This window comes from Homo sapiens, chromosome 18 (genome assembly GCF_000001405.40).
Source record: "Homo sapiens chromosome 18, GRCh38.p14 Primary Assembly".
NCBI lineage: Eukaryota > Metazoa > Chordata > Mammalia > Primates > Hominidae > Homo > Homo sapiens.
Window position 1 is genome coordinate 27,767,492 of NC_000018.10, and position 18,472 is coordinate 27,785,963.

Below are 18,472 nucleotides of genomic sequence, written 5' to 3' on the forward strand. Positions count from 1 at the left end.
GCTAGGATGGAGTAGGACAGAAAAAAAGAAATTATGGGTGACACCAAAGCTTTTGGCCTAAGTAAAAGAAAAAGTGAAGCTGGACATTTATTTATTGAGCTGAGCATTATTATGTGAGATGGTTATGATTTGCATTCCATTTTTAAAATTAGACTACATAGGCTCCCATTAATTATGGGCTTGCTGCAGGTAGCACAGCTTGTACAAGGTGGAGAGTAGTTTTGAACCAAGTCAGTAGACCAAAGCCCCTACACTCAATCATAAAGGCAGCTAGGGACCCCTTAGTACCTGCCAAACTTGCTTTGGACCTACCCCTTAGAAGCTTGCACACCTCAAGATGAACATAGATGGGAAGAGAAGGACCGGAGTCCCTCCATCTGTGCTCGGGGATTTAAAAGCATTTCCATGCCAGTCCATCGCTACCATTCTGCACACTCCCCAACAGAGCAAAGGGACCTGCCTGTCTTTGGCTTGACATTTCAGAGATTCCTACTGCACATTTCTATCTATATATAGGCAGGTCCAGCTCCAGGCAGGTGCAGGATACAGAACAAATCTCAGCGCCTCTCCTCTATACCAACACCCTCCAGCATATGGTATGTGGGTGAAATTAGGTTAAAAAGAACATCAAGGACAACCCTGGAGGATAAATGAAATCATTACCAAAAGGAAACATGTGATGGAATAAAGGAGGGGTGCCAGCTGAGAAAGGTGTTGGAGTGCTGAGTATTTGTACAAGGAATCTGCCGCTGACCATCTGTCTATTGTTTTTCAAGTTTCTACATAGACTATTAAGTTTCAGTCTCAGTAGGAAGGAAGAGGAAAAGAGAAAGAAAACATTTACTGGTTGTTTGCTATGAGCCAGGCACTGGACTAGATGCTTTGTATACATTTGTGCAACACAATGTGGCATTGTCATTATTGGGCCAGCTTTACATAGATTAAGTCACTAAACTGAGACTCCAGCTTAACTTTTCTGCACAAAAGCAATCTGTAAGCTCCATGAGGGCAAGGACTGTCTTTGCCAAGTTTACTGTGTGTCCCCAGTGCTTAACACAGCACCTGGAACTCTGAGGTGAGGAGGGTGTCATTGACTCTTTTCTTCTTTTTTTAGAGACAGGGTCTCACTCTGTCACCCAGGCTGGAGTGCAGTGGTACAATCACAGCTCACTGCAGCTTCGACCTCCTGGGCTCCAGGATCCTCCTTCCTCAGCCTCCTGGAACTACAGGTGTGCACCCCCACACATGGCTAATTTTTTGTATTTTTTGTAGAGACGGGGTTTCACCCTGTTGCTCAGACCAGTCCGAACTCCTGTGCTTAAGCAATCTGCCAGCCTCAGCCTCCCAGAGTGTTGAGATTACAGGCGTGAGCCACCGCTCCCAGCCATCATTGACTCTAGAGTGAATCATGCTTCGCTCTTTCCAATTCTAGTTCCAGATCAAGAATCACATCTCTCTCCTCAACCCATCTCCCACCTTCCTCCCTCCCTCCCTCTCTCCTCACCATGACAGAGGAAGGTCTTAGATTCCCAGGGCTGCTTCTGCTATGCACAAAGCAATGACTGTGGACTGGGGACAGCAGGACAAGCTAACAGGGGCATCCTCCAGCAGTATAGTTACTACCAAAAAGGGAGCTGAGCTTGGAAAAAATAGAAGAGGCAGGCAGGCTTTCCTGGGTATCTGTAGCTTTCCCACTCTCAAAATTTGCACAAGAGGAGGGAGCTTTCCTTTATAAGCACAGTTGTGTCTGCCTACATAGAAGGAAGTCCTGAATGTCCATCCCCTGGGGTTCTGCTTTGGAGTTTAGCTCTGGATAGACGCCTCCACCACCCACCTCTCATACAGCTGGTGAGGCTACTTCCTGTTCCCTGCCACCTGCTTCTCTGAGTCACTGGTCTTTAAGTTTCTCCAGTAAACCCAGGCCACCTAACAGCCTTCATTCTTCATTCAATTACCATTTATTCTTAGCAGAAGCACTAAGAATGCAAAATGGTAGCATGTACATGGCACTAGTTAAGGAATGTGCAAAAATCTATGCCTGTGCATAATGCTTTAAGTAGAACAGGAATTCTTTGTTTTTATGCTGTATTTATAATCTCAACCAAACAATTAAGATGAGATAGGATTTTATTTCAGTTTTTACCAAAAAAAGAAAGTTAAAGGACCAATGTCAGCCTATATTAATGTGAAACTGTCCTTTATTATTGACTAAAAATAAACTCACACAAACCCAGCAGCAATTTTAACCAGGTACTTCCTAGTTAGAATCAGTTCCTGTAATTTTCAGCTTTAGAGCAACAGTTCAGAACACCAAAACTTAGCATTTTCTAAGTATTCAAAACTCAGCAAAGCAATTACTTCTTTTTCCCTCTTTTGAACCTTCCATTAGGCAACAGAGTCTCTCTTTTACCTAAGAAAGAACTATGATCTAAAAATATTATAATTTTGAATTAGGACTTAAAATAATCAAGTTTAAAGCATGTCCTTCTATATTTGTGAGTTATTCCTCCTTGATATATTTGTGGCTCTCCAGCAGCAGCAAGAAAATACTTTCTATTCCAGAGCACCTCGCCAGTGTCTACTTTTCATAGCTCCTTCTCCCCCCATTGCATTGTGCCCTGGTTTTTATTTATTTGTTTTATTGGACCAGGGTGGGTGCAACATTTTCAAACCTCAAATATGAGAAAGTCGTAGAGGGCAACATGTTTAAGATTTATATGATTAGACTGCAGGGAAGAGCAAGATGCACTTGGATGAGAGAAATTATCCTTACCATTTCCTTCTTTTATTTCTCCTTCCTTACAAAAGAGAGGTCTTGTTCTATACAATGGGCTTCAATAGCCTTCACATTCCACATAGGGAGATGATAAAGTAGCAGTCGCAGATACCTGCTAAGACTTGGTAGAAAATTAATCACCTCCCAATTATACCCAAAGCACTTGCGCATCGGAACTCTTAACCCCATTTAGATCTGCTTGTATATTTATAATTTATAATGTTTGCAATTTGTATTGTTATTTTGGAATAAAAATTACTTCTATGCATGCAAAGTAAAAAAAACACATCTAATAATAATTAGATAATTCAACCAAGTAAAGCCACTCTGTCTTCAAAAATATGCATAAATCTTAAGGCTTTTAGTTTCCTTTTGACTTTGTTTTGTTTGGCTGTTGAAATATTTTCTTTGCATTCATAAACACAGAAAGAAAGTCTAGTTTTTGCAGGATTTCGTAGAATCACCTCTGATTCTGTTTTTGGTATATGCCCAAGGAAAGGGTACCAAAGGGACCTTCTACAGAATAATAGGGAGAATTGGTACCTCTCCAAGCTGAGTCCCTTTCCTCTGTCACCCTGCTGCCATAGAGGAGAGTTTCTTTAACCTTTCTTCCCGTCAGAGTCCAGATGGGAAGAACTTTTATAACTTTTATAAATACAGGTTCTTGAGCATCTACATAGACCTCCCAAATCAGTAATTCTAGAGGTGAGGTTTACAGCCCCAACATTTGTAAAGCTGTCCTTCTTGGGTGATTTTCATATGCAGGCAGGTTTGAGAGTAACTGTCCTTATTTAGGACAGTGACCCCATGTTTCCTAATGAGTCTCCTAGTTATATCCTTTATTCCTATGGCGGATAATAGCTATCATTTATTCATTTGTTAATATGCATATGATTTATTTAGCCAAGAGAAACTAGAAATCTCAGGCTTTTTGAGGATTTTCTTGCCATCATTCCTGATTTGCTTAATGCTGATCCCTTAGGGTTAATTCTTTATTATTTGATAAAATGATATCCTGCATTGGTCATCTCTGCTGTAGCTACTGTGATGTCAACATGCCATCAACTCAAGAATATGTCAAAGCTGGCATCTCCAGGAGGAACTACCCTTCTTTCTTCCTTACAAGGTGTCTCTTGTTTCCCAGTCTGAAATATTTCCACTGAGTCTTGTATGTTATTTGACTTCTCCCTCGTTAAAGAACAGAAGCCTCTAATGTCACATTTTCTTCTATGCTATACAATAGAGAGAAGAGAAAGCAAGCATTGTGTTGCATTTATAGTCATGCCTTTTATAATTATTCGTTTTAGAATATGTCATATTATTTGACCAGGACTGGACTTTTTATAATTGTAGAAAATCATGGGAAACATGCCATGTTCAGAAGACTTTTCAGGAACCCATTTTATTCATAGCCTTCTTTGCTGCTGGGTGTGTTCATCACAACTCCCATCAGAACTTCACAGGCACTAGCAGGAATACCAGAGAGTGCTACACAGCTACATTACATGACCCTGAAGTTTCTCACTTTGGCAACATACCACACTGTCATACCACAAAAATGTAACACTGATTCCCCCAATAAGAATAACACTAACTGTTTCTGGATAAAAAGAAGGAAATAAGTAACATGTTCAAAAGCACCTGCCCACAACAAATGCTTTCTGGGAGAAAATGTGAAAATTAGATATGAAGAATCCTTGAGATAAGTTTTCACAACAATTAAATGTGAGATGGTAAAGAAGAAGCATCAGTTCACATTGAAAAAACGTATAAAATAGTTTCATTTATCAGAAAGAAAAGAATCACTTCCCTATTAGAATTATAGACTGTGGCCCCAAAGGGATGGTGGCCCACCCTTCATTCAGAATGGTGCCAGGGATGTTACATTTTGGCAGCGTGCAGAGACTGATGGCATGCAAGAAACACTCCTAACTAGTCTTTCTTAACAGATGTGGATTGTTCCCTATTAAACTGGCCAAGGGCATCTCTTTTTACTTCTTGGGGAATTAAGGAGAATAACAAATAGCACATTGTGTTCACAGCCAGCTAAAGAGGAGAAAGTTCAACAACGTGTGTCTGTGTTAGAATAGGAAATGCTGTGGGCTTAACGTTAGGGCCCACATTCTTCTCCCATTTTTCAGCATTTTTACCCGCCTTGGAGGAAATGTGGTCATAAAAAGCGCTTCAGAGTGGTCATGGTGGTGATGGCATATGTATGAACACACAAAGACATATAATGATGTTTGCATGTGCATCCACACTTGGAGAAGCCCAGTGCATGTTATTGCACACCAGAAACCAATGTGTGTGTCGCACCTCTGCTTTTTAATAGAATTTTATATATTCCCCATTCTGTTTTTAATGAAGAATAAGAAAGAAAAAGACAACTTTCTCCCTTTCCTTTACCTGTTCCTAGGAGTGAAAGCACAGATCTGAGTCTGTGCGAACTTTGATTTGCATTCTAAACAATTAGTGGAGTTAATGCATTGATCAACTTATTTAATTAAATGTATTGAAATAATCTTTATATCCCATTTCAGCATCACTTGATCATCAGGAATCAGGTTCTGTGGTCAAGATTTATGAAACACCTGCAGATTACTTTTCAGTATTCAAAGACAGTATAGAAGTTGATTTATTGAGACTAATAAGAAACAAGTATCCATAAACTGAGATAAAGATGGGATGTGATGAATATAATAAAGAAAAAGAGGAAATAAGTTTCAACATATCTCTGTCTTCTCCATCCCCCCTTTTCACTCTCAAATAAGAATACAGCCTAGCACAATATTTAACTTCTCTCTCTCATACCTGTTCTTCATGCCTTGGTACAATTTATAAAAAGTGAATATTTTTTAGGAAATTTAATCTTAATATTTGTTCCATATTAGGAATAGCCTGGGTGGCAAATGATGTTTAGCCAAATATCCCATAAAATTGAGCAGGCTGAAAGAAAATGTCATTGAAAGAAATACTTTCACCTTTCATGTCTGGCAAATACGATACATGTTCTATGACTGTTTTTTCTTTCTAAGTCTCTAGATTAGAAGATTATATGAAGTTTCCCTGGAACTGATGTTGGTGGCAATTTCTGGATAAAGTTTCTGGCTAAAATGAGGTTATTTCAACTTAAAGAGGAAATCAACATCTAAAAAGGGGTTAGCACTCTTTCTTCAAAGATGTTCCTGATATTTTACAAGGCTTAAAATCACATATTGTAAGTTGCTGTGATAAAATGCATTGTTTATTCAAACTGGGAAAAACAGAAGATTTAATAAATGTCTTCTCACAAACAGTATTTGGCTACAAGAAACTCCATGTGGTATGATAAAAATTGTTCAATTTGGAAAATGACCTAGGACCTAAGTTTTGGCCACTTTAAACATCCAACATAATGTTGGCTCACATGGCAGAGAGGGGATATTAACTGATACATGGAATGTATTTCTAGAGTTCTTTAAAAATCCAAGGAAAAATTGATATAATTTTCTAACAGCTTATGTAAAAGTTGCACATAAAATTGTTGCAAAATAGAAAAAGTAAATCTTAGCTCTGCTTAAATTACCACAAAGAACATGAAACTTTCCATTCAAGAGGAAGAACATTTTTTTACAGTCATACAGTATTATAGCTGGAAGGAGCCTCAGAGATGATCTTTCTTACCTGTTATCTTTACTGCGGAGAGAACTGGGGGTGAGATAATTTAAGAGACTTATTATGATCATCTTCATTCTTAAGCTTTCTATGAGCTACCTTAAACATTCAAATCTAATATTTGTATTGAAGATTTCCTTCACTCATATAAACCAAAAGGTAAGAAAGAGTATGCACTTTTGTATAGTACCCACAACTAGAAAGTTAACAGTGATAGCAAAGTAGGTTCTAGTGCCTGTGGTCACATTTGAGATAGACTCCATGGATTTAGATGGCTCCCTTCCCCACCTCTTCTAATTTTGAAAAGGCAATGCAATATCTTTTCTCTCCTTTTTAATTTCTCTACATCGTGGGCTGTTGTTGTCTGCAGAAGCAAACAAAGGGCTCTCTGCTGACAGCAGAATTAATTTACAAATTCTGTTTGTTTAAGTAAAATATATCTGACAAAAAATGCTAGCTGCTATTTTAAAAAGGACTCTTGTTTGGTATCATATGTTAGCCATGCTTAAAGCAAGGTATAGAGACAAAGGGTTGACCTGGGCATGGTAGCCCACCTATGGAGACACAAGAAGTAAAGTTGCCAGGTGACAGAGAAGGAACAGAGCCATGTAAGTGCTATTCTGCTGTCCCCTTATTTATTAAGGAAAAGGGCCTCCACACTTAAGCCATAATGAACCAGAGCGAATCCTGCTATACTTGTGGAAAGGAAAAAGGAACCTAGTTGCTCCAAACAAAGTAAATCATATTGCTTAATATTAAACCATCTTGTAGGTTACCAAGAACCATTTATGATCATCTTTGTCCAATAAGGAAAAATGGGAAAAATTTAAATAGACTGAAGATAGGGAAAATCTTGACCCAAATTTTAAAACTGTAAATGCTATAAATTATGTATTGCTCGACTTGGTTCTAATATCTGATAAAATTCTACAATGGATCCATCAACATGTGGTCTAGAAAAACTGAACAAACAAGCTAACCCAGTTGCTTGTTTTGAATTTTGCAAAGGAAAATATTCTATACAGTAAACCAAAATTTTGCTAACATATCTGACAGAGTGTCTCATGACATTCTTATAACAGCATGGTGAAATGTGGGTTGGATAATAGTACAGTTCGATGGCTTGTTTACTAACTGAAGAAAAGCTATTGGCAATCCGGAAAGTAAAAAAGAAACCTGATCTCTACGTGATGATCCACAATGTCCTCCGTGATCTGCTCCACCTACTTCTCTCCTGTTCACCAAGTTCCACTCATGCCGATGACTCTATCCTTAACCAGGCCACACTCATTCTTTGCTGCTTGCATTTGCTGCTCCCATCTGTCTGGGATGCTCTTCACCTAGCTCTTCCAATAGTCAGATCCTTATGAAACTGTAGGCATTAGTTTAAATGTCACCTATGCAGACATTGTCTTCAAATTACGCAGCCACCTAATCAACCCTGTCACTCTATATCCTATCCCTCTGTTTATTACCTATTAGATTCTGTTTATTTTCCATCACTCCCACTACAATATCAGCTGCATCAAGGCTAAGACCTTCTTTGTTTATTCACTGAGTATCTCTAAGGCCCAACCCAATACCTGGCATGCACTAGGCTTCTGTGAATTTTTCGATAAATTAGTGAATGAATTAATAAAATACAACCCTAAGTAATGATATAATATCTTCTAGTTGGTTTTTTAAAATATAATATTTTTATCCATGTCTTATATGGAGATACAGAAGGTCTGGATGTTTGTTTTGTTTTAATCTTTCTGATTACGTTATACCGAATAAATACACTGCATGATGAAATAAGAATTCATCGGGTCCTTGAAGGGTTGAAAGACCAAACCCTTACAACAAAATGTCATTAAACGAGGAGACATGAAAATTTCTGCACTTAGAATCAAAGGGAGTTTTTGTGTTATCACAGAATGCGGAGACATCATTTGTCATCAGGATTTATAAAAAATACTTTGGGTTTTACTTTATCACAATCTTGTTTTGAGCCAATAGTGTGATGTGGGCAATAAAAATCATCAGAGTTTTAAAATTAAAAGACAGTCCCTCCAGACCAAATCCATACATTTGTTCAATTCTAGACATTAATATCTAAAAACACTGGAAAATGTTTAAGTGGTGAGAGGAAGAGAACAATGATTATGAGAAGCATGGAAAACTGCTCTCATAATAAAATAATCAAACTTTTACCAATAACCTCAATAAGAGTGAAGGACTTTCTGACAGCTTAGAGTCATCCCAACATACAATAGATTATTCCATGAAACGGTGAATTTCTTGTCAGTGTAGATTCCTATTTCATGGTTAGCAGTTAGGATGCATTGGAAATAATTTTCATAAAATGCAAGTTTATTTGATTAATGATTTGTGATCGATTTATATAATTTAGCTGGGCTTCTTTACTCACTCCTCAGTTTCCCTACTGTGAAGTATTTGCATTAAATACTAGCATTTTTGTTTTGTTTTGTTTTCTAACGTACTATGCATGGAGAAGTTGGTTGAAAGGCATACACGCTTTGTCAGTCTGCAGATCATGAAAGTATCATGACAATAAGTATTTTGCTATATGTTAGTGGCCCACAGAGATGTCAAGAAAAGGTCAGCTACCCAACTAGGAATTGAGAATTAGTAAGTAAACTAGTAAAATCCATGCGAAATGGATGGAATTTGCCTTTGTAGGAGTAAACCAGGAGGTTATCTTTAAATTTGTCTCTCAAGAAACTAGAAATACCTGAATATAATAGAGGAAAAGTCGATTTGGAAGCTTTTTCTTATCACCTTGAAAGCAGGAACATAACTGTAACCAATTTGGAGAAAAATTGTGTGAAGAAAAGGATAGTCAGCCTCAAAAACAGAGCATCAAGACCAGGAATGTGAAGCTGACCTTGTTTATCAAATTCCATAAAAGACATAAACTTCTTGGTTCACATAGTGATGTAATCTATAGAGATGGATTCAACAAGTTCAAGACAGACTTAGTGAAATATCCCTCAAAGCTGCCTTCTCCACTGCACTCCCAAACAACTCAGGTTAAGTCCACTTCCCAGACATTCTGGTACCTTATACTCATCTTCTTCATGGAAAACAATATAAAAATATAAAATATATAAAAATATAACCCCAATCTAAACACTTATTATGGTGTATATACTTTGATATCATTTTGATTAGCATCCGTCTTCCTCTCCAAGTCTATACAACATGCACAACAAAATAGAGAGGCTGACCATGGGCTACAGTAACATCCCAACATAATGGCATGTTGGGTAGCTCCTAAGTAGAGAGTGTTTTCTGGCCACACTCTTGCTCACTTTCATAGCTACATCATTCTGTATTGACTACATACTTAAACATGAGCTAATTAGTTATGGAAGAATTAATGTAAACAGGTTTTGATTTTTTGGTATGAATAACAACTATTGAACTTAAGGATCATTAAGAAACCTTGAGGCTAGAAAGTAATTGAGAGTATTACAGAGCACATGAGATGATTTGGAAAGGAAGTAATCAAAGATCAAGAAAAGGTGAGTTTTTTAAACAATTGGTTATTTTAAACCTTAGAAGTAAGCAAAGAAGCACATCTTTCACAAGAAAATGACTGAAAATGCACAAGAAAGTTAGTGTGAACTTTGGCAGTTGGAGGAAGCCTATGCAATGATCTGCAAACCTGAAATAAGTCTATGCTCACGGAGAATTCAGTGGGGAGGCCTTCAGACATACGTCCCAAATGATACTGAGATATTTGAGAATATGCTGCTGAATCAGGTTCACACATTTAACCAGAAAGATGACAACAAAGTAGTCTTTACTCATGTACACTTCTGGAAATACAAAATCTCCTGATTGCCTTTTACTGCGAAAAGAGTAGAAGGAGAAACTATTCTGAATGGGGCTTGGGTGAAGACTGTGAAGCACACCAACCGCATAATGGAACATTCAAAAACCAAATGCAGAGTCTTTCTCACCACTGCTGTGAGGGGCCCTTTTCTCTCTCTCCATCCAGATAGTATGTGACTCTGAATATCAGCAGGCAACAAGCCAAAAAAAAAAGTAAACTTGTCTCCTTGCATTTCTTTTTGCTTAATTTCTGTTTGGAGGAACTTCATGACATCATAGCGGAGAGTTTATACATAATATATGAAATAAAATGCCCTTGCCCAGAGCACAAGGAGAGTATCATCACAGACTGCTATGTGATCCTTGTCACTGTGCATTCAGTTCTCACAAAGCTGTGAAAAACCCACACTCAGAGCTCTCAATCCATTATTGCTCCCACACCCTCCCCTCAAAATTATTTGCTTGTATTCTAAATGAACATATTCTTTATATTGGTCCCACTTATTCTTTAGACATTCCCTCCAAGATGTTAGACCATGGCCTTGAGGAACAAATTATATTCATATACACAAGTAGTAGTCTCATACATTTTGTGAAAAAGGAAGCATTTTTCTTTCTTCAATTCAATAGAAGTTTTTAAAATTTAGATGGGAAAAGAATGATGCAAGGGGGAGAGAGCAAATTAATGCCGTTTGACATTTGGTGTTTGGTGGGTAAATGGTGTTCTTCCTTGCTCAGTGGCTTAAAGCCAACCATCCAGTGACTTCCCCAGGTTTAATTAAACCTTCAAAGAGAGGGATATGTGTTTGAAATCCAGAGAGAGGAGTAGAGATTTGTGATCAATATCAGAAACTTCCACAAGTTGGTGCTAGAGGCAGAAAGTAAGCACCGTGATACCCAGTTCCTTCTCCCAGCCATTAGATTTAATTTTAGCCTTCAGATGATATAACAGCTGACCAATGACAGGCAATGCTACTTTTCCTGCTTATGTATACATACCCCAGAAGACAAGAAATGCACAGATTTTTAAAATATTTTAGACAAATAAGCACATATTATTTTATATGTTGGAAAATATTTAAGCATCTGCAAATACCTAGAGCATGTTTCTGTATCATGAATAAAAATTATAAATTCTTAGTATAGGACATGGGCTGTCTGTAAGGGGTGCAATAAAAACAGAAAAGAACCACGAATGGCCCCAATAGCCTAGTCAAATTAAATCAGAATGTGAGCTTTTTGTTGTTATTGTTTACCATCAACTTACTTTTGAAAACAGCCATTGTAAAGCATCTGAAACCTAATCATTTAAGTAAACAAGGTTGGCTATTAGCTTCAGAAGAAAACACACTCTCCATTTACTCAGTGGCTAGTCTACTTCATCAAGGGCTAACACCTCTTTTCAGAAAGTTTGGTATTACTTGGCTATCCTAAACAGATGAAGGTGAGGTTCAATGAAGCAGTAAGAATTTGTTTTCACTACTACAAAAGAACCACCACAAACACTAAAATATGCAAGCATTGCAACCTACTGTGTGAAGACTAATTCCCTGATAGAAGTAATGAGAAAGCTAAGCTAGGAGACCAATTTACAGAAACCCTATTCACCTGTTCCTGAAAAGGCATCCACTGAGAAGTCATCAGAATATCTCACCATCCCACCAAAAAAAAAAAAAAAAAAAAAAAAAACCTGGGCAACCTTCCTCTATCTGTGGAAGATGCTAATTTTCACAGCCATGCAGCTTGGTAATTGCTTCAAAGACAATGAGCAGCAGTCATGTGGCTCCAGATCTCTATCTAGGCTCCTTATTTCAAGATTCATGGACTTTATGAATTTTGTTCAGTGACTCTGAGTGCCACAGCTGATAAGGAGCTGGACTGTTATCAACCTACAGAAATATCTAAACTCATGTGCTGGATTCAGCCATCCACACGTAAGGAGACCATCTAGCATGTGCCAGATGTTTAAAGCATGGAAATTATGAATGGATCTAACAGAACTTAGCTTTGAGGCTTAAAAAAAAAATGAAGGCAAGCTCAGGGATACCTGTGGAAAAATATGTTTTTTTTCTCTTTCTGAAATGAATCATTTTGACAAATGGAGGCGTATGGCAGTTTAGTAAACTTCACACACATGATTGGAGCTAAAATATATTTCTCCCTATTTCAACTCAATTCATAGTAAGCTAAGGAGCCTAAATTTTTTACTTTCGGCATTCTCTAATTGGGTGATATTTTTGTGTGGTATGAGAACTGAAGAGATCAAGAATTCTCCCTTAGCATGAACACCCATTTTGCTCTGAATTCAAAAATGCTCTTCTACTCATTTTCCTTAGGTAAATTTGCAATGGTATTTTAACATCTGAAACTGCCATCCATGAATTTAAATTTCTGCATCATTAAATGGGCAACAAGCTAGCTCTGGCTGATGAAAATATGAGCTGGAAGATAACAGCACCATATGGAATGATGATCACATAATAAACCAGGAAACCAAAAACTGAATGAGTCAAGCTGCTTAGAAACACAAAACAAGGTTATAGCACTCTTTTGAAATTACTATACTCATAAATGGTAAAAAGTACTACCTCCCAAACTTGATATCAGCTCCGTCAATAAGTCTTAACAATGTCCCCATATTATCCCTAGGGATGTAGGTAGTTGTAATGAACTCAAATAAAACTGCAAAAAATGTGTAACCTTTTCTTTTCGATAAAACTTCAGTCTATACTTTTGACTCACTCTATTACTTCCCCACCCACAGTAAAAATATGAAGACACGATGACGTACAATACTTTTAAGTTGAAAGCTCTAGACTTTTAGTCATAGCATGGTTGGGATTTATATAGCAAAATTGTTATTTTTCTAGCAGCAACTGCTTTCATGAGCCATGAGTCTTGGGAAGATGAGATAGAAGGTGGCACATAACATTTTCTCCCACTTGGTTTATTTTTACTCAAGATACTTTGGTACTTTATGGTTTGATAAGCTACTACTCAATGATTATGGCTTGAATTACAATAAAAAAGTAGTTGGATATGTTTCAATATTACATATACTGCAATATTACATATGGAGTATATCAAGCAACATATGGAACAATTTGTAATGATCTAGATGCTCCCAATGTCTAAATCACTTTCAGAAAATTATGGGTTTTAAGAGACTTTGAAGACATTAGTTGTTATGGTCACCAGGATGCCTTGAATAATATGCTAAGAAAGTATATATATATATGGGACCTGCATAGTTAATAGAAATAAGCTACATGCACAATGAATTTCTATATAAAATATTTAGCTTAATCCCCATGAAAAGCTTGTGGGTTAGTTAGGTTTTATTATTCACATTTCACATAAGAAAGTTTAAAGGATTTGCTCAAAATCACAAAGCTAATAGTAACTCCAGGTTAGAGGAAAAACAAATTAGTATAGTGAGTATACAAGTGTACAGAGGCAGAGTTCTGAGAATTTCACAGACCCAACGTAATTCTCAAGAGGGGAAACAGAGGCCCAAAGTCACATGATTGGTGGTCAGCAGTATGGCTTCAGAGCCTGTGCTCTCAATCACCACTTCATGCTCCTCACTTTCTCTAGAGGCTGCTGGATGAATAAAAGAAATACAGAGGCTCAATGTCAGGATTCTGGCCCAGTGTTGCATAGAGTACAAATAGCCATGGAGTGACAATAGTTAAAAAAGAAAACATTGAATTTCCAGTGGTTCTGCAAGTAATAAAATTATATAAAATCTTAGGATGCTAGAATTCTTATTTCTATGCCATTCTCTTGATTTCCTCTTCAGGAAATAGCAGTCTTGCTTCAGACCACCTAAAAGTATTTAAATGTCAATATCTTCATTTCCAGTGTTCCTAGAGAGAATATTGTAATGCATCGTGATACTCCATTCCCACATTAGGAGAAGATTTGGTTGAAACCAGGGAGAAGAGAAGGGTCATAAAATTGGTTTGATGTAAAATATCCTACATCTGCTTCCAGTGATTTCAATGCTATAAGGGTGAGAAGGAGAACAAGCAGTACACACGTAACAATAAAAAGCAGTAGGTAATTATTAGTTTAAAGTAGTTCCATCAATTAAATTTAATGTTTTAAAGATTTTATGCATCACTTTGGAAGAGTCATATTCACATCTTGGGTTTTCTTTTAAACATACCAGATAAATTCTTAATAAACTTGAGTATAGTCTTCAGCAATATCTTTAGAAATAAGGGTTTGTAGCTGGTTCTGTACAGAAATGGGAATAAGTAGTTAGGCATGGGAGGTATAAAATGTATAGCTGCGTGCAATGATCAAATATTCATTGAGAGTGACAGGTGAACCAAGTGTATTAGACACGATCCTCTCTAGTGAGCTGGAATTTCAAACTCAACATGGCAACTAGTCACATGGGATAGTTTATACAATGTGTTTAGAGGAAAGCAGAATTTTAAAAGGCAATAACCAACAACCTTTCTCTTACATAGAGAATGCCATAGCATGATTTGTGGGAAAAAAAAACATGTTTTAGCTAGCATTGTGTCATAGAAAGTGGATTTAAATAAAATCTCAATGGACAATCAAGAGATGTGATAAGAAGTTTCCATGTGAGTCTTCTCCCTCATATTCTCATTTAAAGAAAATTTAGAAAATGCTAAATTGGGTCAATGCGAATATTGTAGAAAAATAAAGTAAAAGAATAGCAGACACAATTTACTAACTGCCAGTTTGAGCCTTCCTGATCAAGAATCCCAAAGAGTGTGCTCAAGAAAGATGATCCTTCTCAAAAAAAAAAAAAAAAAAAAAAAGAAGAAGAAAAAAAAAACACAAAGCACTGCAGAGGTATAAACAACAAACTGTGGGAACTACAGATTTGAATCCTTTCTTTACTTTGCCATGAGTTTGATTGTACCAGCTATAAATCATCATTTCAAGAATATTGCTGAAGACTATACTCAAGTTTATTAAGAATTCATCTGATACGGTTAATAGAAAATCCAAGATGTGAATATGACTCTTTCAAAGTGATACATAAAATCATAGGAGAATGGAGTTGTCAAGTCAACTGTTGTGATATGGTTTGGCTGTGTCTCCACCTAAATATCATCTTGAATTGTAGCTCCCATAATGCCCATGTGTTGTGGGAGGCAGACAGTGGGAGATAATTGAATCATGGGGGCAGTTCCCTCATACTGTTCTCGTGGTAGTGAATAAGTCTCAGGAGATCTGATGGTTTCATAAGGGGAAACATCTTTTGCTTGGCTCTCATTCTCTCTTGCCTGCTGCCACATAAGACGTGACTTTCATCTTCTGCCATGATTGTGAAGCCTCCCCAGCCACATGGAACTGTGAGTCCATTACACCTCTTTTTCTTTATAAATTACCCAGTCTTGTTTATATCTTTATCAGCAGCATGAAAACAGACTAATACACATTGTTTCAATTATAAAGTTTGTACTAGAATGTGAACATTGTAATTCCTACTAGGACTCCTGTGGAAAAGTATTTTTACATATTAAAATTAGTTATTATTATTATTACTCTAAAATGGAGTACTCTAAAGAGAAAATGAGCCAAATTTGAGTGAAAGATTTATTTTGGGTAAGAATAATTACTTCCATCAAGTTATTGTCCTTGTGTCTAATACAGCCCCAGTACACAAAAGGAACTATTATTTGTGGAATTCTGTCTCCAACCCCCGCCCCCCACCAAAAAAAGGATATATTGAAGTTCTAACTGCTTGTATCTCAGAATGGACCGTATTTGGAAACAGAGCTGTTGCACAAGTAATTAGGTGAATTAAAATTAGGTCATACTGGAGAAGGGTGGACCCCTACTCCAATATGATTGTGGCTGTTACAGAAGAAAGTGGCCATGTGAGGACAGGGACTGTGTGTGTTTTGTCTTGTCACAACAAAAGCACAGGTTGGAATGAGCAGCTGCCAATCAAGGAATGCCAAAGATTAGCAACTAACCACCAGAAGCTGAAAGAGGCAAGGAAAAATTATCTTACAGGTTTCAGGGGGAATATGGCCCTGCCAACACCTTGATTTCAGACTTCTAGCCTCCAGAACTGAGAAGCAATGCATTTCTGTTTTAAGCCACCCAGTTTACGGTACATTGTGATAGGAACCCTAGGAAATTAATAAAGGCCTTCAAGAAGCACTTAAACAGGGACAAATCAAGGACTGGATTCCTGACAACTGCCTTATTAGATCCCTTTCTGTTTTTAGAGAGGGCATCGTGGAAGGAGTTTCATAAAACTGAGTTTGAATCCTGATGCCACCACTTACTAGTGGTCTTTAGGCAATTCACTTAACATCTCCAAACTGTAGGTTACTCATCTGGAAAGTGAGAATAAACCTCCATAAAGTCCTAAGAGCATTAAATAAAATGATATATGTAAAGTGCCTGGTACATGCTTGGCACGGAGTAAATGTTAGTTCCAGTATCTCTCCTTGCATCACAATGTTGTAATAACAATTACATGAGACTAGAAACAAATTACTTTTACCATAGAGACCACTCTACATTTTACTATTCTATCGTCACCAGCACCTTGGGCATGACATAAAAGGCGCAAAAGAGCCCATCTGAGAGGTTTTTGAGACCCCCCAGGAGCCCAGGAAGAGAACTTGGGATGGGTTAGAGTTCTGTGGGATATGGGGGATTACATCTTAACTCTCACTGCTCTGTAATTCAGAGCCATTGCCCTAAACTGCAAAGGACTCAGTGAAATATAATCCCCTTCTAAGCCCTAAAAAGTTCCATCAAGTGTCAGAGAGGCAGCCTCACATGCACTCTCCAGCCCAGTTCCTTGAGAACTTCCTCTCAGTCCTCGGGTCAAGGGAAGTGTTAAACTTGAAAGAGTAAAATCACTTCCAGTTGCAAGGAAAGCTACAGAAATGATGAAAACACTCATTGGCCATAATATTTGCTCCTCCAATGAAGACAAGGCAGAACTAGCAGTTGGTAATAAGATGTTCCCAACTGGGACCAGTAGGAACTATTGCTGAGCACAGTTAATGCTAAATTCAGAGGAAAACCAGGATCCAGCCCCAGAGAGATGACTTGTAGTCCTAAAAGCATAGCAGGGCTAGGAGGGGCCCCAGAAGGGCACTAGGGCTACTTGATTGTACTCCACTGGGACCTTAGCCCACCTGGAGTTAACTTTAGTAATCAGCAAGATGTTGCAGGGTAGGTAGAAGGAAATTGTGTCCATATAAGAAAAAGGCAAAGCTAGCTTTTATTTTATTTTATTTTATTTTGTTTTATTTTATTTTGAGACGAAGTTTTGCTTTTATTGCCCAGGCTGGAGTGCAATGGTGCGATCTTGGCTCACTGCAACCTCTGCCTCCCGGGCTCAAGTGATTCTCCTGCCTCAGCCTCCCGAGTAGCTGGGATTACAGGGGTGCATCACCATGCTGGGTAATTTTTTGTATTTTTAGTAAGGACGGGGTTTCATCATGTTGGCCAGGCTGGTCTTGAACCCCTGACCTCAGGTGATCCATCCACCTCGGTCTCCCAAAGCTCTGGGATTACGGGTGTGAGCCACCGTGACTGGCCAAAACTAGCTTTTAAAGAGAGAAAGAGAATAAAGATGAAAAAAAAATTCACAAATTTGAGAAAATTCTGAAATGTAAGGAGGCAATCATCAGAAACCCAGTTCTTGATTTTCCCTGTTTGAGTGCTTTACAGCAGAAGAAAGGACCATTTTCTCCCTGGCACAAAGAGAGAGTTCCTACACGACAAGTCACTCCCTTCCTTAGTCCTCATAGCCAGAGATGAAGAAAAAAGCAGTCAAATACATTGCTGGCTGTGTAGCCCAAAGTGTATCTCCAGAATCTGCGTTTAAGTAAAGAAAATTATTTTCTTGGTTGCTATTCCAAATAAAAAGATGATCCCAATAAGAGTCCAATGATTTCAAGAATATACTTGGACTTCTGCCTGCCAGTTAAGGTTCACTTAAAAGGTGAGTCTTTCCTCACACTTTCTGGAACATCTGGAGGGAACTTCCTCCTCTCCCCCTGCTCTCCTCTACCCCGCCCAGGAATTATGCAGTGTGGAGGGCCTTCTGGAGGACAGCAGCATGGAATACCACCTCAAAAAGAACACACAGAGAACCATCCCTGCCATCGCTCCCTTCTTCTCGTCTCCTCCCAGTGTCTCCCACCCCAGAGAAGCTTAAGACCCTGAGGAAGGGAG

General features: G+C 38.0%; 1 annotated feature.

Moving 5' to 3' along the window:
- Window positions 11,364-12,059: an enhancer, noted in NCBI's record as "NANOG hESC enhancer chr18:25358819-25359514 (GRCh37/hg19 assembly coordinates)". NCBI's record gives its function as "activates a minimal SCP1, AML or CMV promoter by ChIP-STARR-seq in primed H9 embryonic stem cells {active_cell/tissue: H9 hESC(primed)}" and the evidence as "EXISTENCE:reporter gene assay evidence [ECO:0000049][PMID:30033119]".